This window comes from Homo sapiens, chromosome 12 (genome assembly GCF_000001405.40).
Source record: "Homo sapiens chromosome 12, GRCh38.p14 Primary Assembly".
NCBI lineage: Eukaryota > Metazoa > Chordata > Mammalia > Primates > Hominidae > Homo > Homo sapiens.
This window is the reverse complement of record NC_000012.12, coordinates 26,339,845-26,365,470: the sequence shown is the minus strand read 5'-3', so window position 1 is coordinate 26,365,470 and position 25,626 is coordinate 26,339,845. Positions and strand designations below refer to the sequence as shown.

The 25,626-nt window shown below is 43.3% G+C and overlaps 1 protein-coding gene and 1 long non-coding RNA gene across 6 annotated transcripts in view, besides 2 other annotated features; one reads left to right on the top strand and one right to left on the bottom strand.

Annotated features, from left to right (window-relative positions):
• ITPR2-AS2 (ITPR2 antisense RNA 2) overlaps window positions 1–25,626 on the bottom strand; it is a 103,881-nt gene that overhangs the window by 57,334 nt on the left and 20,921 nt on the right. The window lies entirely within an intron of this gene.
• Window positions 1–25,626, top strand: part of ITPR2 (inositol 1,4,5-trisphosphate receptor type 2) — a 497,843-nt gene that overhangs the window by 467,724 nt on the left and 4,493 nt on the right. For all 5 annotated transcript variants that reach the window (NM_001414174.1, NM_001414175.1, NM_002223.4 and 2 more), the window contains one exon: window positions 25,143–25,304. In NM_001414174.1, the coding sequence (NP_001401103.1) occupies window positions 25,143–25,304 (162 nt within the window). The remainder of the gene's footprint in view (window positions 1–25,142; window positions 25,305–25,626) is intronic.
• Window positions 4,921–6,120: an enhancer, noted in NCBI's record as "BRD4-independent group 4 enhancer chr12:26512284-26513483 (GRCh37/hg19 assembly coordinates)". NCBI's record gives its function as "activates an origin of replication core promoter dependent on BRD2, P300/CBP, MED14 and CDK7 cofactors, and independent of BRD4, by STARR-seq in HCT116 cells {active_cell/tissue: HCT116}" and the evidence as "EXISTENCE:reporter gene assay evidence [ECO:0000049][PMID:35650434]".
• Window positions 24,812–24,861: an enhancer, noted in NCBI's record as "active region_6123". NCBI's record gives its function as "activates an Ori minimal core promoter by ATAC-STARR-seq in GM12878 lymphoblastoid cells {active_cell/tissue: GM12878}" and the evidence as "EXISTENCE:reporter gene assay evidence [ECO:0000049][PMID:35858748]".

The window sequence follows — 25,626 nt, the reverse complement described above, 5'->3', positions numbered from 1 at the left end:
CTGATCTATTACTTCTGAACTCCTGTGTCATGAGTCTGGGGATACAGTACGCCAAGGAGAAAAAAATACAGTTTCAGGAAAAAGAAAAAAAGAGTCATGTAATTAAAGTTGCAGGAGCCATTTCTTGAATCCTGGAATGTTTGGGAAATATACAATGCCCTACTCTTACGTTAAAAATTTTGTTAGGTACCCAGGTTTCAGGAATCACTAAGCTTCAAATTACATTTTCATTCTTTGTAGTGACACCGTTCATTTTCCTTTCCTCAGGTCCTCTGTGTTCAGGCATGAAAACTGTCTGACTTGCCTAGAGTTTCCAGTTTAACCTTGCTAGTAAACCCTAAAATAAAACTATGACTCCCTTCTGTGTTCTACCTGGGCCAGTGTGATACCAATGAGTCTCGCTTCGCAATTCATGTTCATTATCGTTATTCCCTGATTATACCAGATAACTGTAGTCAGAATACTGCTTTGCTTAAAATAGAACGCAGTGATATTGGGTTACCACATGGGGAGGCCGACCTGAAGATCATCAGATGGTCTCTCAGGACAGTGCTCCAGACAGTCTCTCTCTTAGGGGACAAAGGTCCAGGCCCAGTGCTAACCTTTACAGACTCATCCTAGAGGCCGTCAGGGTACACAGAACAAATTGGGGGTAGTAACACACTAACCGGAGTCAAAAGACAGAAATGTGGATAAATCAGAATACCTATGCATTGATTTAACAAGATAAATTGATTTTCAAGCAGGACAGACACACATGATGGCAGGTCAGTGTATTTTTCCCTGAGACGCCAGATTATAATGAGAAGGTTGGTTGCTGAATGAGCAGAGGTTGGGAGCAAAGGGAGTTAGTTGGTTTTATGATTTGAATAGTTGACCAGACCGAGATAAACAGATGTAACCTCATTGCTGCATCCAGCTGGAGACTAGAGTTTAGACAAGGGCTTGCTTAAATCCTGTGTGTGAGTCCTGGCTTTCCCACTTACCAGCTCTGTGACCTTGGGAAACACTGACTAGTATCTACCTTAGGGTTATTGTGAATGTTCATTCATTTATTCATTTATACTATGTATAAAGCACTTATTTTGTGCCAGGAATTATTTTAGGCCCATATCCCAGAATGGCAGTGAACAAAACAGATAAAAATCCCTACCTTCATGATGTTTACATTCTAACACACAAGCCATCAATACGATTGATAAATAATATAGTCTGCCTGATGGTAATGGGTGCTACAGAGAAAAATAAAGCAGAGGAGGGAAAATCCCCAGGACAGGTGGATTCACTGTTAAATAAAATCAAATCTTAAATGTAAAGATGATGGTATCTGACCCGCCATATTTTTTATTCTAGTGTGGTGTTATTATTATGACTTTCATTTTATCTTCTCTGAGGAACAGGCAGAGCCTAGCCAAATATCCACGGGAGAGTGCCAGACACATAAGCTAGTTCAGCCTCATTCCACCCCATTTGTTCCAAGCTCAGTGCAGTCTTCCTAATTGCCAGTGTTGCCTTTAGATTTGTAAATTCCATTGATTAGTTAACAGTTGGGTCTTTCTTTGTTTTAGAAGACATTTTATACATAAAGGTGTCATTATACACTTTTCATTTCCTTTATCATGAGTCGAGATTTTAGGTCTAACTTCAAGCATTTTAGAAGTATCTCCATACTTAGTGCAATTTGTAGGACTCTTTTTTTTTTCTTTTAAGTTCTGGGATACATGTGCTGGGATACATGTGCAGGTTTGTTACATAGGTACCTGTGTGCCATGGTGGTTTGCTGCACCTATCAATCCGTCATCTAGGTTTTAAGCCCCACCTTTTCTAAGATCAGATCACGAAAATGGTATCAGTGCATTGTGATCTGGAGAGAAAGTCTTAGAGTCTGGAAATCAAAAATCTGTATTCTAGTTTTGCTTTCTCATTATCTAGATCAGCAGTCCCCAACCTTTTTGGCACCAGTGACCAGTTTCATGGAAGACAATTTTTCCAGGCACTGGGATCGGGGGTGAGGGGGTGGAGGTGGGAATGGTTTGGGGATGATTCAAGTGCATTACATTTATTGTGCACACTTTATTTGTTATTACATTGTAGCATATAATGAAATATTATACAACTCACTATAATGTACAATCAGTGGGAGCCATGTGCTTATTTTCCTGCAACTAGACAGTCCCATCTGGGGGTGATGGGAGACAGTGACAGATCAGCAGGCATTAGATTCTTAAAAGGAGCATATAACCTAGATCCCTCAAATGCACAGTTCACAATAGGAGGTTCACACTTCTATGAGAATCTAATACCACCGTTGCTGTGACCGGAGGTGGAGCTCAGGCGGTAATGCAGGCGATGGGGTAAATACAGATGAAGCTTCACTCACTCATCTACCACTCACTTCCTGCTATGCAGCCCAGTTCCTAACAGGCCACAGACTGGTACTGGTCCATGGCCCAGGGTTTGGGGGCCCTGATCTACGTGACTCGTGATGCTGCCATAACTGTGTAGCTTAGTTTTTCTTCCTGTGTCTTGGGGAGCATTGGGGCTGCCTTTCATAGGGTTCATGAGAGAATAAAATAAGACTTGCCCAAGATCACCCATCAGTAGGTTCCCCATCTTTTATTCCCCAGTTATGCTTTCTTTCAGCTACACTAGGAAGAGGTGATGAGGGAGTGTGAAGGTTCTAGGATAGGAGAGAAAATACCTGTGAATAGTTTGGGTAACTCGATAATGGTTGGGCTCTAATGTTATTATTGCAAGAGACCAAGAACGTCAGATTTGATAGGTTAGAAAATGGTGGTGTTTGAGCAGAAGAGCAGTTTATGAGGACGGTGTTAAAGGAGTCCCAGCAGTACTGTATTAGAGAAAAGGGATCTGATTTGAGAGTCATAAGAAAAATATGACTGTAAGTAATCAGTGACTAACTGAAAGTAGCAGTGAGGAAGAGATAGACAGTAAAAGTCTATCCGTATTCTTGCATGTATGCATCTACCTCCACATATTTGAGCACTTGCTGGGCTTGTGGGCTAGGCACTAAGAGAAAAATCTGAGTGGCCCTCAGATGCATGTGACCCAGGGAATGGTGGAAAGATGTTTTCTAAAATGTTCTGCTGGTGCTTAGGTCTCAGAAGGCCTATGGAAGTTTTAATTTTGGTAAGAAACATCCTTGCTAGTTCTGGGTTTGACCTTAAGCTCAGGCTGGAAGTAAATTGCTAGTGCCCACCTCTGAGGAAGTGCAGGTTGAACTAGGGCAGGTGACACACTGCCTTGTGGAATGTCAATCTGCAAGTGATTCCATCCTGCTTAACGGAGCTTTAGCACTTTGACCCCAGCTTGAAGCCTGGGAATACAGCACCCTCCAGCCCCTGAACCACAAGCCACTTGCAAGCTGGGCATATCACAAAATTACTTTGATCCAGTCATCATAAGTGTATTTATTGCAATGGGATTCTACACAATAAGGTGGTGTTATTGTGAATTAGAGAATAACAGAAGACTTATGTATTCAAAGTGGGATTTGGTGGGTAGAAAATTTACACCATACATTGCATCAGCTACTATCATTCTACAAAATTTGACTGTGCAATAAAATGATAGTCAGTATAAATAAGATCTTTCTAAATTGCTGCCTAAACTGATAGTGCACATGGAAATAATTTCAACCTCACGTTATACATTAGGCATGTTATTGAAATGTTGCTTATAAATGTATTTTGTGTTGAAAGTTTAAATCACGTTTTCAATGTTCCTTTGGAAAATTGTTAGTTAAAGAAATCTGGTGATTATTCCTTTAGGAGAGAATCCTTTGGAAATTAATAGTAGATAATCTGTTTTTCATGGATTTTGTAAACTTCATTTTTATATATCACGTTACCCTAAAGCCACCTGTATCTTAGGTTAAAATAATTAGGTTACCTTTATTCTTGAAGTGGTTGGTAATTGTGCACAGTCTAAACCAATACAAGCTGGATTGTATAATTGTATTGCCAAATCTTCACCCATTTTTTTAGCAAATTAAAAAAGAATTATGATGCAATGGGGTGGGGTGGAGGGTGAACAAAGATTACTCTGAGCAACAGGAATGAGAGGATATTGTGATAAATCTTATATGATATATAAACCATGACCAGGGATTAAATCATAGCTAGACCACATAAATAATGCTGTGTAGATCTTGCTATGATTTCAATAGATAACATAATTCAAAACCCAACTTCCAGCACAATTAAACATGAAGCTATTGGTAACATTTTTTTTTTTTTTGGAGTTTTGCTCTTGTTGCCCAGGCTGGAGTGCAGTGGTGCCATCTCGGCTCACTGCAACCTCCGCCTCCTGGGTTCAAGTGATTCTCCTGCCCCAGCCTCCCGAGTAGCTGGGATTACAGGCGCTCGCTACCATGCCCAGCTAATTTTTTGTATTTTTAGTAGAGATGGGGTTTCACTATGTTGGCCAGGCTGGTCTCAAACTCCTGACCTCAGGTGATCCACTGCCCTCGGCGTCCCAAAGTTTTGGGATTACAGGCGTGAGCCATGGCGCCTGGCTGCTAACATTGTTGTTAGTTCTCAATAAGTACCCCAATTGCAGAAAAAAAAAATTGGTAAACTTAGAGGTGGTGATTACAATGTATTTTTAAAATACTTATAATGACCATGCAAAGATGTCATCAAACTACATTAACATCTTAGTGATAGAAAGGAAAAAAGAAATTTTTTGGTGAAATTTACAGGAAGTAACAGAACATCTATTGAAGAGCTAGGGATAAATTTGAGTTCAACAAGACCTTGGAAATCTTGGCTACTAACGTTGGCAAGACCATCCATTTTCCATTTCTGGTGATAAATTTTAAATCCAAATAAATTCTGTTTGTTAGGGCACTAAAAAGCCTTGTCAGCTCTGAAGTTAAGTAGGCATGTATTCACTGGCAGTATGTGGAAGCCACAAACTGGGCCAAGCTGTAGACACCTCCTGTAATCTAATTTTCAAGCACAAAGTATGGCAAAGCCAAAAACGGCTCTCAGGGCAAGGCTTCCTGGGCTCAATTCATGACCATGGGCTTTGGGACCAGGGGAAGCTAAAGATCATCATCACTTCTGCAAAACAGCGGACCTCGAAGACGGGAAACAACAAGGCCAGAATAGGAGCGAGAAGAGATGAACTTCCCTCTCGAAGTGGTTCTCTGAGCCCCCCGGTAAGAGAAATAATGAAGGAGGAAGCGAGAGAGGATTCGTGGTGTGTTTAGTAAAACAAGGAAGGGCTACAGATACGCTGGAACAAAGCCTCAGAGCTTGCTTTCCAAGTAGCAGTCCAGATACACAAATGGGTCAGCTCTGACTGTGTAGGCATCACCCCTTAGGAAACCTGACCACAGAATGCCCTTGCAAAGAAACGGAGACAAAAATAGAGTCCTTCCATCCTGCAGTGGCCTCCTTCTTCTCTTTGTGTGTCAGTGATTTTCAATCAGTAGATTGCGAGAGCCATGGCAACTTGAGGAATTTACATTTTAAATTTTAAAAAGTGGGCACGTAGAGGCGAAAGTGGTATTTGGGATACAGAACAGAAGAATGGGTTCCTCATTCCCACAAGGTTACCAAGCAGTAGGGTGGGGCAGAGTGGATGGAAACTCCCAAATTGCAATTGACATGGGAAGGTTTGAAAACTCACATCCGGGTGACGCCATGTGCTTGTCCCTGAAAATGTGTTAACTCTGGGGATGTCATCATCCCATGAGGCCAATCACAGATCATTCCTCCCACTCTCCTTTTGCTTTGCCCCAAACCATATGTTCCCTCATGACACACCTACGCTTCCCCACCCTGACCCCCTGCCATCTCCTCCCACCAAAAGCATGTTCTAAATATTAGCTTTTTTTTTCCCCACAAGAGAAAAGCATTGCACTAGTTTCTCTACATCATTTTATGAAACCCTTACAGAAATCCTAAAAGATAGGCATTCTTATCCCTATTTTCAGAAGAAGAAACTTTAATACTAATCTGATCACATGCATAATGAGAGGTGAGGCTGGGATTCAGACTGAGATTGCCCTGCCTCCAAAACCTCTGACTTTTAAATCATAGCCTGCTTTCTTGGTTCCCTGTATATCTGAGCATCCTCTCATTTGGATGATGCCAAGACTGGTTTCATCCTAGTTAGCATTAATATGGTGCACAGACCTTTCCAGCACGGGACAGGTCACTTTACCTTGTACCTGAATATTTCTCACCTCCAGACCTTGGAAAAAATGAAGTAGCAGTGGCGGGACACTTTCTTCCATTTTGACCTCTGTATTTCTTCACTTATTCAGCTAGCATTTAAAGAAAGCCTGCTATGCGCCTGACACTGTTCTAGGCTCTAGAAACAAAGGAAGTAAAGCCCTGCCCTCCTAGAACTTGCATTCTACTATTGGAGACAAATGACTATATGATGTAGGCAATGTCAGCTAATGATGGAAAGCAAAGCAAGTTGAAGGAGCAGAAAGGGATGAAAGTGTGCTGGGTAGGGTTGTCAATGGTAGCCTCTCTGAGGAGGAACACTGGGGCAGAGCCCTCTATGGAGTAAGTGAGTGAACCATGGAGAGGTCTAGGAATCAGCAGGAGCCAACCCCTGGTGGGAACAGATTGGACATGGCAGAAAACCAGCAGCACAGCTCATGTGGCCAGAGTCAGTGAGGGTGGCAGGTGGCAGCCACAGATGGGGGAGGGGAGGGGGACAGAGACTGGATCACTTAAGGCCCCCTGGGCTAGGAAAGGAGTTAAGAATTTATGCCAGGAAAATATTAAAAACATATCAGTGCCTTTTTTTTTTGTTCTGAGATGTGCCCAACATCATCAATTATTTGTAATACACAGAATTCACTCCTGACAAGGAAATGGGTAGAACATATGAGAATAAGTAGTTTAATCCACAAAACACAGCCGGGATGATGGATTTCAAATTGTTGCCAGCTCTTCAGGCAGAATGGGTAAGAAATAAAGAGAGAATGTATGTAAGATCACAGTCCAGCAGCACACTTTTCATGCTCAAGGCTCAAGGGAAAACAAGAACGACTTTATTCTTTTTTTTTTTTTTTTTTTTTTTTTTTTTTTTTTTTTGAGACGGAGTCTCGCTCTGTCGCCCAGGCTGGAGTGCAGTGGCGCGATCTCGGCTCACTGCAAGCTCCGCCTCCCAGGTTCACGCCATTCTCCTGCCTCAGCCTCCCGAGTAGCTGGGACTACAGGCGCCCGCTACCACGCCCGGCTAATTTTTTGTATTTTTAGTAGAGACGGGGTTTCACCGTGTTAGCCAGGATGGACTCGATCTCCTGACCTCGTGATCCGCCCGCCTCGGCCTCCCAAAGTGCTGGGATTACAGGCGTGAGCCACCGCGCCCGGCCGAACGACTTTATTCTTTATCCATAGACCCCAGATAAATCTTTTCTGCCTTGCATGATCATATCCTAAATATGTACATAGCTGCAGGTTTCTGGGTGTATTCTAGCTTCTGTAGCTCTCTTTGTAATAGTTCAACCAAATGTCCACTATTTATAGGTCTCTGAGCAGCAACAGTTAGCAAATGTAAACCCAGCAACCCGAGCTAGCCGCCCTGCAGCTTCCTCACCTTTGCCACCAAGGTCACCCTTCCCCTCTGGCCATGGGCAGCAGCTGATGGCCACATGGGCCACAACCAGAGGTGGTGTGTAGGGTGGGTGCCTGGTCTGACACCAGCTATTTAGTTTCATTCCCAACTGGGTGCACTGCAACTCAATTTTGGCACTGCCCACTCAGGCTTAGTGCAGACCGCACAAGTTAGAAAGCATGATCTCCAACAATACTGCCCTATGTCCGATGCCAGCCACACTTTGGGAGTCCCCAGGCTACAGCATTTATGACAGGCTGGATATAAATCTGGCGGTTCCCGCAACCCTCTTTGGTCAATAATTTGCTATAACAGAACACAGAAGTCAGAAAAACACTAATGATGACAGTTTTATTATTATATAAAGCATACAAATCAAGAGAATCTGCCAAATGAAGTGACACAAGGGGTGAGGTCTGAGAGGGAACATGGAGTTTCTATGGCCTCTCCACATGGAGCCAGGGCAGATCACCCTCCCTACACATTAGTGTGTCCACCAACAAAATTCAACCAAGCCCCAGTATCCAGAGGTTTTTTTAGGGCTTCATTACATAGGCCTGATTGATTGAATCATTGGCCATGTGAATGAACTCGATCTCCAGCATCCTTCCTTCCCTTTCCAGAGGTGGGGCTGACTTGAAACCCCAACCCTGCAATCATGTGTGCTTGGTCTCTCTGGTAACCAACCCCCTTCCCCCAACGCCATAACCTCCCAACACTATGTAGGGGCCCACCAAGAGTCACCTCATTAGCATAAACCCAGGTGCGCTCTGGCAGCCCATGAATAAAAAAGACACTCTGTCACTCGGGAAATACCAAGTGATATGATTGGCCAATCATAAAACATTATGTTATTTCATCAGACTGGCTTCATCATGTATTAGAAACAAGTTTTACATGTAGGAATTGCTTCAATATCTATTTCAGTATCTTAAAGTCTTTTTCTATCAGATTGATACCCCATAAAAACAAATAATCAGTGAAATGTTTCAAAAATAGAAAAAATGTATAAAATGAGCTGGGCACAGTGGCTCACACCTGTAATCCTAGAACTTTGGGAAGCCAAAGCAAGAGGATCACTTGAGGCCAGGAGTTGGAGACCAGCCTGGGCAATGTAGCAAGACCCCACCCTACAATCAATCAATCAATGAGAAAAATGTATAAAGTTCATATAACCTAAATAGCCTCAGTTTAAAACATGGGGAATTTATTCATGAAATTGCACAAAAAATTAGAAATGCAGCACCTACTGCATGATCAACAGTTGTTTCCACACTCCATTTGTGTAAAACTGATCTATGGCTCATGGCTGTAATTCCTGTTCACCAACACCTTGTGCCTTTTGTGTCTACGCATCTTATAATTATGATCAGACAGAGCCATTATTTGAAAAGAGCCAGGATCCTCTGGAATTAGAGCATACCGTATTCTTTCGGTCTCACTTGTCTCCTGGGAATTCCATGGCTGGGCTTCATCATTTTAAGTTTCTTATGCTCACCCTACTTGGCATTACTTCATTTCTTCTCACCATGTAACATCTGCTTGGCAGAGCAGGTGAAGACCTATGGCTGCCAAGTAAAGGTGGAGGTGAAGGTGTGTGCAGGACCACGTGGTCTGGGACCCATCTAGCCAGCTGTCAATTCATTGGTGGTGACAGTGAAATGCCTTTCCAGCTGTGCACCACCCTGTACTGGGTCCAGTTCCCAGAGTCAGCAAGACAGTTGTCATTGCTATATTCTGCAAAGCTATAATCTAACTTAGAGTTGAATGCCATTTTGACATCACACCGTGTTTGCCTCACCTCCCAGAATAACATATTGGTCTGTACTCAATTCAGATTTTTAAATTCACCATCCCTCATGCCACATGATGCCCTGTTTGAAAAATCTAGTGAAGAATGTTTAGGTCTCTGATGCTAATGGGAAAGTTTAGTCTGAATGCAAGGTCTCTTCAGTGCAACCTGGCACATCACCTTCATCCAACTTTGAATTTTTTGTTAGGCCTCTGTGTTGTGCTGACCCCCAAAAGCCATTCAAGATCTTTAACCTGAGTGTGCCCCAGCCTGTTGGCAGTGGATTTTTGGAAAGCTCAGAGACCAGTAGAGAGACCAGGGATGAAAGACTGAGGGGAAAAAATAGGGATTTTCTAGAAAAAGGTATTTGGAATCAAAGAGGAATTTCAAGGGAGTATTAGCATCTGTCTATTTTATAAGAGTTAAAGGAGAGAATGGGTAATAATGAAATGGGAGTGGCCAGTACGGACCACTCTCACAAAAGAAATATGTTAAAACCCATTGTTATAGGCATTTTTTGAGTGACCAGAATGCTTATGACTTCCCAGTAGATAATATCTCAAAGTCATGCTCTCACAATTTTACACATGTAAATGGGACTTTCTAATCTAGAGAAGCTGCCCAAATACTGTCACAGAATTATTTCATTCTTAGTTGGTCCAGATCCAATAAATGATAGTCTAGGTTTTAATGGAACCCAGAGAGGAACCATAGTTTTGACTGGAGCAGTCTTTCACCTAATGTCCTTGTCTCTACATAATTATTAGTAGCACTCCTTTTATGCTCCAATGTGTACCTATTTAGCCAATAAATTGTTTGATTACCAAATCAGCATGTACGATGAGTATGGTTAAGAATTTTCTTTATAGTTCATCCAATGAGTAGTGATGTTAGGAAATCATTGGTTAGACCTTAAGTTATCTACAGTGGTCATTCTCAAACTTTAGCATGCATCACAACCACCTAGAGGTCTCATTAAAACACCAATTACTGGGCCTTCAACCCCGGAGTTTCTGATTCTGTAGATCTGGAGTAAGGCCTAAAAATTTGTATTTCTAACCATTTCCCAGGTGATCTAGGGAAGACAGACTTTGAGAACCACCAACTTGCCAGGTACGGTGGCTCACACCTGTAATCCCAGCACTTTGGGAGGCCAAAGCAGGCAGATCGTCTGAGGTCAGGAGTTCGAGACCAACATGGAGAAACCCTGTCTCTACTAAAAATACAAAAATTAGCTGGGCGTGTTAGATGGCATGTGTCTGTCATCCCAGCTACTTGGGAGGCTGAGGCAGGAGAATCACTTGAACCCGGGAGGCAGAGGTTGCAGTGAGCTGAGACCCCACCATTGCACTCCAGCCTGGGCAACAAGAGCAAAACTCCATCTCAAAAACAAACAAACAAAAAAGAGAACCACCAACTCTCTTCCTCTTGCTGGGTAGAATTTTGAAGACAATGGAAAAGACTTAAAGAGAGACTTCACAGTTTAAAGAACAACTAAATAAAATGGCAATGTCAGGGACTAGTGAAAGAACATTAGCTGGTGAGCTGGCCGGCTGCAAACACAGTACAATCAGATGACAGCAGGTAACGCTCTGTGACTATGACCATGTGGTGGACCCTTCCTTGAGCTACTCTGTAATTTTAAGGTTTCATCATCACTTGTTAAATATTTTTTTTTCAAAAGGAGCAGTAGACTTTTAGCAGATTTACCCATTTATTTGTGTGAGACAAACCTAAAAATATACTATCAAAAGGTAACAGATGCATTTACCAAAACGGATTTTATTATTTATTTTTTTGAGGGAGTCTGGCTCTGTTGCCCAGGCTGGAGTGCAGTGGCGCAATCTCGGCTCACTGCAACCTCCACCTCCCGGGTTCAAGAGATTCTCCTGCCTCAGTCTCCTGAGTAGCTGGGATTACAGACACCTGCCACCATGCCTGGCTAATTTTTGTATTTTTAGTAGAGACGGGGTTTCACCATGTTGGCCGGGCTGGTCTTGAACTCCTGACCTCAGGTGATCCACCTGCCTCGGCCTCCCAAAGTGCTAGGATTACATGCATGAGCCACTGCACCTGGCCCAAAACAGTTTTTAATTCTATTTTTGCATTTTTGTTGTTGCATTTGGTTATGGTGCTAAACAATTTCTGGGGATGGTTTTTCTTTAGGTTCTCAGGTATAGTATTTTCTGTATAGTCATTGTATATAGAGGTGTGTGTGTGTGTGTATAGTTTTCCTTGAGTTCTGCATATGAGTACTTATTCCTAATTCTCCCTCTAATAAGTCATCTACAGTGAAAATAAATATAATGATCATATCTGAGGAATTTCAGTGACATCCTGTCAAAGTATTAGGCAAGACTGACAGAAAAGCTATTTTGATTTACATTTTAGGAAGAAATTTATTGAGTTGTGGATTAACTGAAACAATTATGGAGCCAAATTATTATTGTTTATGACTAAAGCACAAAATGGTTGTATTATTTGAACCTCAGCATAACTGGAAAATCCTGAATCCTGTCTTCAGGTTGCTCTTAAAAGATGAGCAGAGGAGAGATACTCAGACTGTCATGGAAAATTTGGGCAGACCCCTCTGTAAGAGTCTACCTAAAAGACTCAGATCTAGTCTTTCTGTAGGCCACCTTGAGTCTGGTGCCATCACTGGCTATTCAGCATTTTCTGAGTAGTATTTGAAAAATAAACTGCCTTTTTGTTTTGTTTTGTTGTTGACCTTTTTGGATTTTAAGGAGCAAGATGATCTTGATGTAACAGGCTTTTCATTATCATGATCGAGGACTTTGATCACCAAAATACACTTGTAAATACAAAATAACTGAAAGACTCAGAAAGACAATGACTGAACCATGAGCCCAGTAAACTAAAAATTCCAATGGTAACATGTTCAAAGGTAAAGAGGCTTTTAAGGTCAGAAGCATCTTTGTTGTATTAGGAGACCTTCATTGTCCTGGTTCTGCTATGATCTTCTGATGTGTAACTTTGGGTCAGTCATTTAATTTAACCTATCCTTTATGGTCTCCTCCATCTCCGCTAGTAAGGGACATTGTTCAGTGGTGTGCTAGTTGGTGTTTAACAACCAATTTGAGTAAGCCTCAATTATAGCATCTGCCTATGTCCATGGTGCAAATACTCCCACCAGGGTTGATTTCAAACTGCCAACACAGTGTCACTGGATGCAGAGGTGGAAAGAGATGTGCACCATTGGTCCTTACAAATGGCGCAACCCAGTTCTCTTCTCTGAGAGAACAGCTGTGGGATTTTGGCCTAATAATCCACTTTAGGGGCTGAATTATCCAGTCTGTCTGTTCACATTAATCATGCTAACCAACTATTTTGAGCTCTGTGAATGCGTTCTTATCCTCCAGGGGAAAACTGTTGTCTGTCAAGTGTGCATTTTCAAGCACCCAGTTTTTGACTTCAAAGCCCCCTTGGCAGACATTACTGTGGTATCACCTCCCTGTGTCCCACTCTTGCCACCCCTTCTGAAGCCACCGTCAGTGCCCACATGGACTCCTGCAGTGGTTCTATGTTGCAAACAACAGCAACTGACTCTCGTTATCTTAGGGAGAGAATGAATTTGTGGAAAGGATTACAACATTCAGAGGAAAGCAGAAACCAGACTCAGTATGAGCAGATTCCAAGAGAAAATCCAAGAGCTGGCCAGAGGTCCCACCTGGGGACAGCCTGGTTAGAGGAAGAGTGCCATTGTTGAGTGCTGGAAGCTGGCTCCAGCACAGAGGGCATCACCACGGCCAGAAGCCACCTCTCCAACTACCGTGAATGGAAAGAATTCTGTACTGTTTTGCTTCTTGGCATCTGTTGTTCCATATGAAAATCTCAGGCAAGAGCATCTGATGGGTCGCCCTTTGGTCATATGACTGAGCTCTAGCTGCCACAGGGAGGGCAGACAGAGTATCAGCCTTTTCAGCTTCTGTCACAGAAGACTGGACCCAACCTTCCATCAGGACCCCACAGTAATGATTTCCTCAGATACAGGAAGGAGCTTCAGATTGTGGGCAGCCACACATTGGACGAATGCCCCCTTGAGTATTCAATACCCTATTCCAAATGTTTTCCCTTAATCTCACCATGAAGAAATCTCTAGTTTTTGTCTATCTCAGCGAGATTTGCAAATGTTTCTACTTCATATTATTTGCAGAAGAAATAAACATTTATGTTCTTTTCAAAGGAGGACAGGAGATGATAACTCAGATTAAAATATGGAAATTAATAAGTAATAAGATTAAGAAAGGCTTAAAGTCCCAAGGAGATTCAGTAGAATTCAGAATTGACAGGAAAAGAAAAACACAGGAAAAAGCAGGAAGAGACATGACTGGCCCTGAGGAAGTCCACTGGTAGGACCTTGGGTTGCTGGTGTCCCCAACAGTCTCTTCCTTTTTTGAGACAGGGTCTCACCGTGTCACCCAGGCTGGAGTATAGTGGCACAATCACAGCTCAGTGCAGCATTGACCTCCCAGAGCTCAAGCAGTCCTCCTACCTCAATCTCCTGAGTAGCTGGTACTACATGTGTGTGCTGCCACTCCTGGCTGATTTGTCTCTTCTGATGCCAAAGCTTTACCTAATTATGTTTCCTTTATGGGCAGAATGTTTCCCGCTTGACATTTCTGTAGGAAAAACAGCAATAGGGATCCGGGAGAATGCTGGGCAGGCCCCTTGCTCAGACCAGCTTCCCCATCATTTCATCATCAAATGCATCTCCAGATTCCTAGAGACCTTTGACAGATTGGGCCCCAGTCCCTGAGTCTGATGCCACTACAGCATCTAGGAATCAGCTGGCTGATGGCTGAGAGCAGTTCTGGGAGCTGGACTCCACCTCCCCTCTCTGAGTGTTTCTCACCCTCATGTTGGGTCAGCATTGGGACCAGTGCCCGTCCCCAGAGCCTCCCAGCAAGTCACTCATCAGAGGTGGTCACTCATCCTAGAGTCCTGCTTCTTCATGTTCCCGGTTACTGCCCTAGCAGTGCTGCTAAAGTTATTGATAAGAGGCCTTGTAGCTTGCCAGCCGTCTAAGCTGCCACTGGATCTGAGCCTTCTTAGACCTCCCCAGTCCTGGGTCACTCCCTCTTCTCTCTGTGGCTCTATCCCTCGGTGCCCTGTTGGCTGGGAATGGGCAGGACCCCACCATGAGCAGATGTAGCTGATGCATTCTGTAGACAGCTAAGGCTTATGGTTGGCTGGATTGAGGATGAGAAGTCTGGGACCAAAAGAGAAGACACAAGTAATTGCACTTCTTTATGCAGCCTCTGCCCTCCTGCTCATGGGGGTCAGAAAGTTTCTAAGAGGGAGAGTTGGGAAGGAGGAAGGAGGAGGAATGGGCCAGGTGGGTTCTCGGGGGCTGTGGTCTCTATTCATAGTCCAGGCTGTTGTCTGGGGGGTGAGACCCACCACTTGCCACCACAGGAACAAAGCTAAGCTCAAGGGTCCTCATCACACTTGGTATCCACACCTGTTTTCCCAAGTCACTGCCCAGAGCCCTGCTTTCAGACTTGGTGCTATTTCAGGCCACCTGGGAGAGGTAGGTCTTGAAGATCACAGCTCTCTCAATGCCCTCAAGCAATTAAGAGCCACCATCTGGCATGCAGCCCATCCCAGAGGATGATTTGCAGATGAGGGCTAGTACATACAGTGCCTCTCGCCCCCAGGATGCCCGCTGCAGAAGTTTTTACTGCCATCTGTCTTTACCCATACCAACTCCCCCGCTGGTCTGGAAACAGTCTAAGGATGGAAATTCTGACCCATGAGTCTTTGAAACTCCAGAGCCCAGTGTTCTTCCTGACACCTTTTAGCATTTTTTGAAATGTTGGTTGAACTATTTTGATCCTTTTTTTGGCAGAGGGGGTCCTCACTTACCTGCTTCCCTCCGCCTCCCTAAAGTCAGGAAGCCAGTAGGGATAGGGGCCTTCAGGCTCACACCTACAGAAGCTTAGAGCCCGCAGGACCATCCATAACATGGTAGTGGACAGTCCTGTCCTCCTGCAAGCCCTGTGCTGGGCATGGGTCACACCCCCTCCCATCATGGCTGTGCTGCCTATAAAGCCAGGGGTTATAGAATCAGCCCATCTCTCAGTACCTTCCAGCTGTAGCTTTTTTATTGTATACCTGGGCCCTGCTGAGATTAGGAGTCCCGTGAAGTCATTTTCATCCCAGAACTCTCCTCCTTCATGGGCACTTTCATGGAGACTCTTTTTCCCTCTGCCATTGGGAGCAATGACTAGATTAAATAGGCTCGTCCCTGGAAGGCTCCTAGGCCAGGATCCCCTTCCCACCAGCACACTGAAAGTGGTGCCATGAAAAAGGGGCCAGGCAGGAACACGGCAGTGACACCAGCCTTTGCTGGGTGCCATGCACGTCTCTAAGGCGTGGGCTTCAGCCACTCTGCATATGGCCTCAGCTAACCAAGGATGCTTTCTGTTTGTCATATTGCTTTATAATTTTGTAAAAATTCACAAATTTATAATATGTGAGTATATAATGTAAATCTGATATTTGAGCATTTAGATTTGAGCAATATTTCAAGGTATGATGATAATACTCTGAAGGGATTTGTTGCTTTGCAAAATCTTTCAATCCTGTTTTGCTTTGTGTAACTAACACATTTCAAATTTCTCAATCCACACAAATTTGGTACTGCACCACATTTACAGGAATCTAACAGTTCACAAGGAAGATCCAGGGAGATCCAGACAGAATAGACAGGGAGACACAGAAAGAAGGATCTGGTTAATACAAGCTTGAAAATGAATCTTCAAGTCCTGTCACGTGTTTTTCTAATGGAGCAAAATTCACTCTTACTCTTCTTCCCTAACCCTAACCCTGTTTTTAGAATGAATTGTCAAGGTTTTCATTTATTTGTCAGTCCAAGAATAGTTTTTGTTGTTGTTGTTTTAGAGACAGGGACTCTGTGTGTTGCCCAGACTGGAGTGCAGTGGCATGATCATAGCTCACTACAGTCTCTACCTTCTAGGCTCGAATGATCCTTCCACCTCAGCCTCCCAAGTAGCTTGGACTATAGGTGTGCGCCACCACACACAGTTAATTGTTTAATTTTTAGTAGAGATGAGGTCTTGCTCTGTTGACCAAGATGGACTATAGGTGTACACCACCACACCCAGTTAATTTTTAAATTTTTAGTAGCGATGAGGTCTTGGTATGTTGACCAAGATGGACTATAGGTGTGCACCACCACACCCAGTTAATTTTTTAATTTTTAGTAGAGATGAGGTCTTGCTATGTTGACCAAGATGGTCTCAAACTCCCAGGCTCAAGCAGTCCTCCCACCTTGGCTCCCAAAGTTCTGGGATTATAGGCATGCACCATCATGCCTAGCCTTAGTGTTTTAATTTCAAAGAACACAACTGTATCCTTTCTCTGTCACCTGCAGTCCCTGACACTTGTCAAACAAGACTGTGTTTTCTAGCCCATCCTTCCTCCCTCATGAATGCAAGGCCCACATCTGAGCCTCTGTGAGAACCAGTTGTTTTGTTGCCCACCTTGAGCAGTAGTTGTATATAGGTGGGTGTTCACTAGAAACTGGATGAGGAATCCCAATGCCAATGTCATGGGTATCTCCTAATTTTTTGAGATAATGCCTAATCTGCCCTCAAGGCCACCATGTTGGTGCAAAGGTGAGAAACTCATCATGCCCTTACTGAAATCGAGCAGAGGTGCTGGGGTACATGAGACACGCCCCCATAACCACGCCCCATAACCAAATGATTAATTCTTGTTCCAGATTATTTTCTAAGTCTAAAGTTCTAGGAAAGAAGAAATGCTGTCTTTCCCTGAGGGATCTTCCAGTAAGTAGGCAGTAGCAGCGTGACTTGTGTGGCTTTTGAGAGCCATTTCTGCTGATGTCTTCAGACAAAAAGTGCAAAGAGAGGAATGCAATAGGTCATGCTGAGGCTCTGGGGGAAATGCTTAATGCTCCTCAGCCTAGAAGGCTTTGTGAATGAATTTTAGAATGGAAAATGCAGTATAAACATAAAGCTCAGGAAAGGATGGTAACCAAGAAAAACCTTAGGAAATGGTCTTGTGATAGCACATTCTAAGCATAGCCATCAAGTCTGTATGCACAGGTGAAGGTACATATTAAATGGTTTACCAATACTCCATTACAAGACATAGTATATTTCATGGGTTGTTCTTTATTAGCAGTGTTTCAGAGCATTCTACAAAATCACAGTGAATGTCAACTGTTGCTGCATTTCTATCAGTACCTGCACTTGCATCCGTGATACCATACCTAGAGGGTTTGTGTTTCTGATTTTTAATAAATCAATCGTTAGCATACCCCAGAAGAAGAAATCAAGGGGGCCCAAGGTATAGTAGCTTCTGTTTGGAGATTCACTGTAGTCTTTGTTTTCCTTAGCAAGTTCAGAAGCTAAGCATAGATATCTCCATTAGACATGCAGAGTGATCTGGTGCAGTGACAGAATACAAGCTTTTCAATCAAACAGGGTGGAGGTCAAAGCCTGGTTTAGCCACTAACACCACCTATATGACCTTGGGCAAGTAACTAATCCCCTTGCCTCAGTATTGTCATCTGCAAAATGGGATGGAAATAGTCCCTACCTTATGGAATTGTGGGTATCGGTCATAGCATGATTAAAAAGTGCCTGCCATTTGGTAGGCAGCCCACAAGTAGGATACATTACTATGATGTAGAACCACAGTTCTTGCTTTTTATAGCTTACCCACAGTCAACTTTTAATATGTACCTAATAGAGCTAAAAAGACCAAGACAATTTCTCCAATGTTCGCCTAACATAAGCCAATCACATTATTTCTTAATCTCATTCTGTTATGGAGAAAAATTATTACATTCTTTATATTTTCTTGAGCCAGTGGACAATTAAGTAAGAATAGGGATAGATTATATAAGAGCTATTCCACTATGTAATATGGAAGAACTTGCCCAGAAGTGGAAGTCAGGTGCAGGGACATTTGCTGCTATTGTGCCTTGAGACCTCAAGGAAACCTAAACTTTCTAGGTTTCAGGCTGGGCATTTGCAGTATACTGGGTGTGGGCTGTATGGTTTTGAGGCTGCTTCTAGCCAAAATGCCGTGTTTCTGTTTGCTCACTTGGCAAGCTCAATCTTCTCTCAACAATTTGTTTTTTTAAGCTGTCTTTACATCATAGCTCACAGAATGACGAGCTGGAAGAGACACAGACACCACCTAGGGTAACATTCTGATTTTACAGATAAGGAAACTGGGACTCAGAGAATAAGGCTTTCTTCCTCCTTATATCTTATAGCTAGTTTTTTGGTAAGCTAAAACAAGAACCGGGGTGTCCTGACTCATAGATTGGTGCTCTTTCCGTTATACTCCCATTTTCCTTTTCCCACAGATCAGATATCACATTTAAGAACTAAATATGAAAACATAGCACAGCTGATTTTTTTTTTTTTTGAGAAAGTCTTTACTCTTGTAGCCCAGGCTGCAGTGCTGTGTTAATGATCTCAGCTCACTGCAACCTCCACCTCCTGGGTTCAAGCGATTCTCCTGCCTCAGCTTCTCGAGTAGCTGGGATTACAGGTGCCCGCTACCACACCTGGCTAATTTTTGTAATTTTAGCAGAGGCAGGGTTTCACCATGATGGCCAGGCTGGTCTCGAACTCCTGACCTCAGGTGATCTGCCCACCTCGGCCTCCCAAAGTGCTGGGATTATAGGCATGAGCCACCGTGCCTGGCCCAGCGCAGCTGACTTTTGACACTTGCAACCTAATCATTTTATTGAATGACTACAAGGTTTCTACACTTCTATCTAATGGTCTTTTAATTGCCCAGAGAAATAGATAACTGTTAGAATTTAGGGATAAAAGGGTATGGTTGACATGGTGTGTGAGCCCTAAAGGGACTTCTCAGGGACATGATGGTTCATCTTGGAGTTTTGCATTTTAGAATCTTTGAGAAGCTCTGGATTTCCACTCACCCACTTACTAGGACCATACATTATAGCCTCAGAATCTAACAGTTAACCTACATCTTCCCTGACTTTATACTACCCTGTGGTCAAATATGTTTATTCCTGGTGAAGTAAGGAGATTATTTCATTTTGACCAAAGTCATCCTGGGAATCTAATAATCATATGCATGATCGCAAGATGTACATAGCATGCATGAGTAAACCAAGAAATAACAAACTAAATCAAACTGCTTTGTTAGATGGCATACATATTACAAGTCGACATGGAGAGGAAGTGGTGTCCTGTTAACTAGTATCTTCTCTGTGTGTCTGTCCTGTGGTTCTGGCTTAGGTTAAAGTCTGGGGTTTACCTTCCTCTTCCCCTGCTCAGATTGAGCCTTCTGTGGAAGCCATAAGAGCAGAGAGAGAAACCTCTGAGTATTTAATTGGCAGCTACTTTCAATGGAAAAGCATATTCACTGTGTAAGAATGCTGCTATATTGGAGTTAATTTTCATGAAAAGAATGTACAGTAATCCCCCTTCTCCATGGCTTTGTTTTCTGTGCTTCCAGTTACCCACAGTCAACTACAGTCCAAAAATGGTAAGATATTTTGAGAGAGAGAAACAGAAGCCACTTTTATCACAGTATATTGTCTTAATTGTACTATTTTGTTATTAGTTATTGTTAATCTCTTACTGTGCCTAATTTATAAATTATCCTTCATCATAGATATGTATATATAGGAAAAAATGTAGTATATCTAGGATTCAGTACTCTCCACAGTTTCAGACATCCACTAGGGGTTTTGAAATGTATCCACTTCAAATAAGGGGGACTACTGTACTTTCTGCAGTAATTTTGAAGAAAAATCAGTTGTGGAACTGATTTTTACAAGACTGCTTTCTTCAAAAAAGAGAACAGAAAGCAATCAATTTAAGTTGTTTTTTTTTTCCATTGCAGTGAGAAATGTAAAGCATTCAACTCAGGTCTCTTAAAAATTAAGAAAAGGAACCCTAAAATATTCAATATTAAAATGATTTTTAGTTGTACATTATATATTTGTCTCAGATTAAGACCAGCAGATACACAAGGGAAGGGAGGAGTGGAACAAGAAGCAGAAAGGTAGGAGAGAAAAGGCTGAGAAACAAACAAACCAAAACACAGACAGATACAAGGAGTGAAAGAAAGATTAGAAAAACCAGAAGAGGGTTGGAAGACAGAATAATATTTAGGAACGAAGAGAAAAGATGACAGGACTGTGTAGCTTTTGCACTTAAGCACAGCTTCTCATTACTTTTGTCATCCTTTGTTTGAAGTCTTACTCTCCACCTATGAACTATATGTTCCATAAGCACGAGAATTGTGCTGGATTTTGCTTACTATTGTTTTCCCAGTGCCTAACAGAGACATAGTAAACACAAGCAAGGATTATTAAGTGAATGGATGAACAAAGAAACAAATGAAAAAAGAGAGTGTAGGGAAAGGGAGTTCTGTGGCTCAAATGGCACCAGCTATGGTCCACTGAGAGCTGCCATTGTTTCCTCAAAAGCAAGAGGCCATGGACTTGGCTGATCCTGGCCCCTGAGATGCTTGCAATAGTGTTTCTTTGGAGGCAACTTTACAAATGCTCACACACTATCTGTGAGAGTTGCAGTCTACTGTTAGAACAAGGTTTTGCATCTGTTTCTTTTGGAACCTTTTTGCAGGTTGATGTTTTCACCATCCCTCACATTCCTGGTACCTTCTTACCCCAAGCCCAGTCTGTGATGCTCCCAAATCCCCCTGCCCCAACAACCCCTCTGGAATCCTTGTGCTGTTATATGTTGAAAAAATCTCTCCCAGAATGCTGCTTTCTTGGCTCTCCCAAGAGGAGCCCTGTCTTAGTCTGTTTTGTGTTGCTGTAACAGAATACGTGAGACTGGGTGGTTTATAATGAACAGAAATTTATTGGCTCACAGTTCTGGAGGCTGAGAAGTCTGTTTTCAAGGTGCCCACGTCTGGTGAGGGCCTTCTTGCTGCATCATCATAGGATGGAAAGTGAGAGGGTGAGAGAGAGCAAGAAAGGACCAAACTTGCCCTTTTGTTACAGCACCAATCCCCACCCCCATGAGGTGGAAGCCTCATAGTCTAATCACATCTTAAAGGTCGCACATCTTAATACTGTTACAACGCCAATTAAATTTAAAAATTAAATTGAATTTTGGAGGGGACAAGCATTCAAACCATGGTGACCCCCTTCTCCTTTAGCCCCTTGGTGGCAGCTGCCTATTTTCTCACCCTGTCTGTATTAAGAGCCCTAGAAAAGGGTCAGCACTCTGGGCTCCTCATCACCAAGAAATCAACACACCTCAAACCTCCCATAAAAATGCACTTTTCTAATCCTTCCCATCCTATCCTTTAATACCTCCTGGTCACTTTTGTTCATTCATACAGATTTTGGCCCTTGGCCACCCACAGCCTCCTCATCTACCCCAACTACTGACTTGCAGGATGACTTCAGGAGTTTAGTGCACAATTCATCTAAAAGATTAGCCTCTGCAAATTCTGTGATTTTTTTTAAATGGTGGTAAAATATATATAACACAAAACTTACCATTTTACCATTAAAGTGTACAGTTTTGTGGCGTGAAGCACATTCACATTGTTCTGCAACCATCACTAATCTATCTCCAGAAATTTCTCATCTTCTCCAGCTAATAGTCTGCATCCATTAAACACTAACTTCCCAAGTTCAGTGATATTTACTTTTACCAGACTTAAGGCACTCTCACCCCAAAATTTTCATTTCCTGAAGTTGTTCTACCTTCGGAATTTTAAATTTTGTTATTCTATTTTCTGTCCACAATCTCCTGTCTTGCCAACAGACTTTGATGCAGACAGATCTGAGTTGGGATCCCAGCTAATCCAGTTACTAGCTTCATTTCTTAATCTGTTTTGTGTTGCTGTGAAGGAATACCTGGGACTGGGTAATTTATAAAGAAAAGAAAGTTATTCAGGTCATGGTTCTGAAAGCTACACAAGAAGCGTGGCACCAGCATCTGCTTGGTTTCTGGTGAGGGCTTTTGTGCTGCGTCAAAATATGGCAGAGAAAGGCCAAAGGGGAAGTGGGCATGTGCAAAAAGACACCAAACCAAGCATCCTGGCTTATAACATCGCACTCTCATGGGAACTAATCCACTCCCCCGAGAACCCATCCAGGCTCCTAAGAGTGAGAACTCACCGGACGTGGTGGCTCACGCCTGTAATCCCAGAACTTTGGGAAGCCGAGGCAGGCGGATCACTTGAGGTCAGGAGTTCAAGACTAGCCTGACCAACATGAAGAAACCCCATCTCTACTAAAAATTCAAAATCAGCCGGGCATGGTGGCGCACACCTATAATCCCAGCTACTCGGGAGGCTGAGGCGGGAGAATCACTTGAATCCAGGGGGCGGAGGTTGTGGTGAGCTGAGATTGTGCCATTGCACTTCAGCCTGGACAACAACAAGAGTGAAACTCAGTCTTAAAAACAAACAAACAAACAAAAAACAAAAACAAACAAACAAAAAAGAATGATAGCTCACTTACTACTGTGAGAATGGCACCAAGCCAATTCCTGAGGGATCTGACCCCCGCCCCCCCCCCCCCCCCACCGCCGTGACCCAAACACCTCCCATTCGGTCCACTTCCAAAACTGGAGATCAAATTTCAACAGGAGGTTTGGAGAACGCAGACAAACCATATCTAAACCATGGCACCTCACTTTCTTCATTTGTAAAATTCAGATAATACGTAATATAAATACTGGATAGATAACAGAACCTAAGTTCACAGAATTGTTGAAAGGAATAAGTGCTTAAAGAGCATTTAGCACAGGTCTGTTCTCCTCCCTCCTTCCTACCAGTTCACACATTAACATGCATCACATCAACCACCACTCTATTGATCTTCCCAGCTCCCTTAAACCTTGATCTTCCTGATGCTCATCCCAGAGAGACACAGCATGCTGTGTCAGTCCAGCTTTCTGCCTCATCTGCACATCCACTTGGGCTGTGTGTGAGCAGCTGGCCCAGCCACACTACCGTGCAAGCATTTCATGGGCCCCTGTTAGGTTTCCTCTGCTCTTCCCCCACATGCCTATTTCAGATCTTTCCCTTTTGCTCTGTCTCCCTACCCAGCCACTGTCTTCTCTGTTTCTGTAAACCAGAGTCCTTAACACTTTAATGATATTAGAACCACACACATTCCCTGAGGTCCTGATTTGGTAAGAGGTGGTGGGGTGGGAATCTGCAGTTTTAACAAGCAACCAGGGGATTTTGATACACACAGTGTGCAGCCCACTCTTTGTGGAGGGCTGTCCTGAGCCATAAGCTCCTTGAGAGCAGACACACAGTCTTATCTGACTTTCACCCCTAAATACCTAACAATAGATGCTGAAGGATTGACTGAATGAATGAATCTGTCACTCTGCACTTTAGAGTAAGTTACTGTTCACCTTTGAAATGCTAATTAGCTACAGCTGTTTAAATGCAGTTTAAAACTCTTCAATATATTTTATCTTTAGTTCTTTATCATCCCTTTTCACTGCCATTGGGGGTAGGGAACTATAAAGAACTTGTTATTCTCTGATGCAACAACAACAAAAAGCCAACCCAAGGGCCAGGTAAGATTGAGCCTGCAGTCTAGAGATACACAAATTGGGCCTTGCCACTGTCACTTAGGGAAGAACACTCCAGTGACTCTCATTCTAGGGATCCCACAGGCAGAGGTTGTTGTAGCCATTTCAGTGGACTTCTCTGGAATGGAAAGAGTTTCAAGCATGATGCTCACTGCTAGGGATGTTGGGAGAAGGTGATTTAGAGAAATAGGTGAGTAGACAGAGACAAAGACTGGCACACCCCATCAATGCTGCAGAGGCTTCAAATCCCAGCTTTGCCATTTACTAGCTTGTGACAAGAGTAATGAAACTTAGAGCCTCTTGTTTCCTTATCTGTAAAATGGGGACCACATGATTTACCTTGCAGAGCTTTGGGGAGGATGGAAAAATGTCATATAAGTAATGCATAGTGATTCTATGATGTTAGACAATCGAGCAGAGTCTTGAAGAAAGCATCTGTCAGTCTGCCACGATTGGAGGAAAAACACACACACACACAAAACACCTACATACACCCAGGCTGCCTACAAAAACAGAAGTGGAACCAGCTATTGCCCTGTGGGGAAGTCTAACTCTCACCCATTGCAATAAAATCTTTCCAAAGGGAGCAGACAGAGTAACCTCAGGCCATGCCCTCCCACTTCCCTCTTCCTCAAGTGGAGCTCTGAGGGAGGCAGAGCTGGTGGGGAGCCTTTACAGAGGAAGTGGGAGGTAAAGTAGTGTGGGTGGCTGAGGCTGAAACATTTCTTTTACCACTTTCCTATACCATCCCCCCACTTCTCTTGTGTGCCAGGGGGAAAGAGAAACAGTGCATGCCTATGCTGTACCCACACACACTTGGATCTGCTCCCCCAGCCTCCAGACCCCACCTCATCATTCACCATCATTCACTGAATGCCTGCAGCCTTCACGGTGCTTTCTAAATGTCTCAGCCGGAACCTCCCTGGAAGCCCGTATAAAGTTTGCTTCAATATTTGGGGTCTTCCCCCAGCCCGTGAAGACCAGTGTCTAAGCCCTACTTCAGCCCCTCCCTATGCCAGGTTTTCTCTCTCCAATTTGAGTGCTAAGAGACTTTGGTTTAAATGTTAGTAATAATAAACAGCTATAGACATTCTCCCCTTCCATACTTATTCCCTTGTTCGCACACATTTATTTGCTTTCAGGAGAAGAATTTGGATTGGTTTCCTCGGATGCGAGCCATGTCCCTCGTTAGCAATGAAGGCGACAGTGAGCAAAATGAAATTCGGAGCCTTCAGGAGAAGTTGGAATCGACCATGAGTCTGGTCAAACAGCTGTCGGGTCAGCTGGCGGAGCTCAAGGAGCAGGTGGGTGCATTCAGGGAGATGGGGCTGGGTGGGATAAAGTCATTCACCACTTCCGGTGAGGGGAGACAGAGGGTCCAGGGAGCCAGGTCATTATCCACAGAGAATTGCAAACTCCGAGAAAGAAACCTCACGTTGTACTGTAGAACCACATCCCAGCAAACGGGGACTTCTACTTATCCCATCTCCCTGAGCCTCACACGACACTTCTCCTTCTATGGAAGGGGGAAAGGATAAAATGCCAAAATACAAGCACCTCTTTGCATTTAAAAAAAAATCATTTTCTGCCATGATAGTAATTACTAAGCCCATGGGAAAGGCAAAT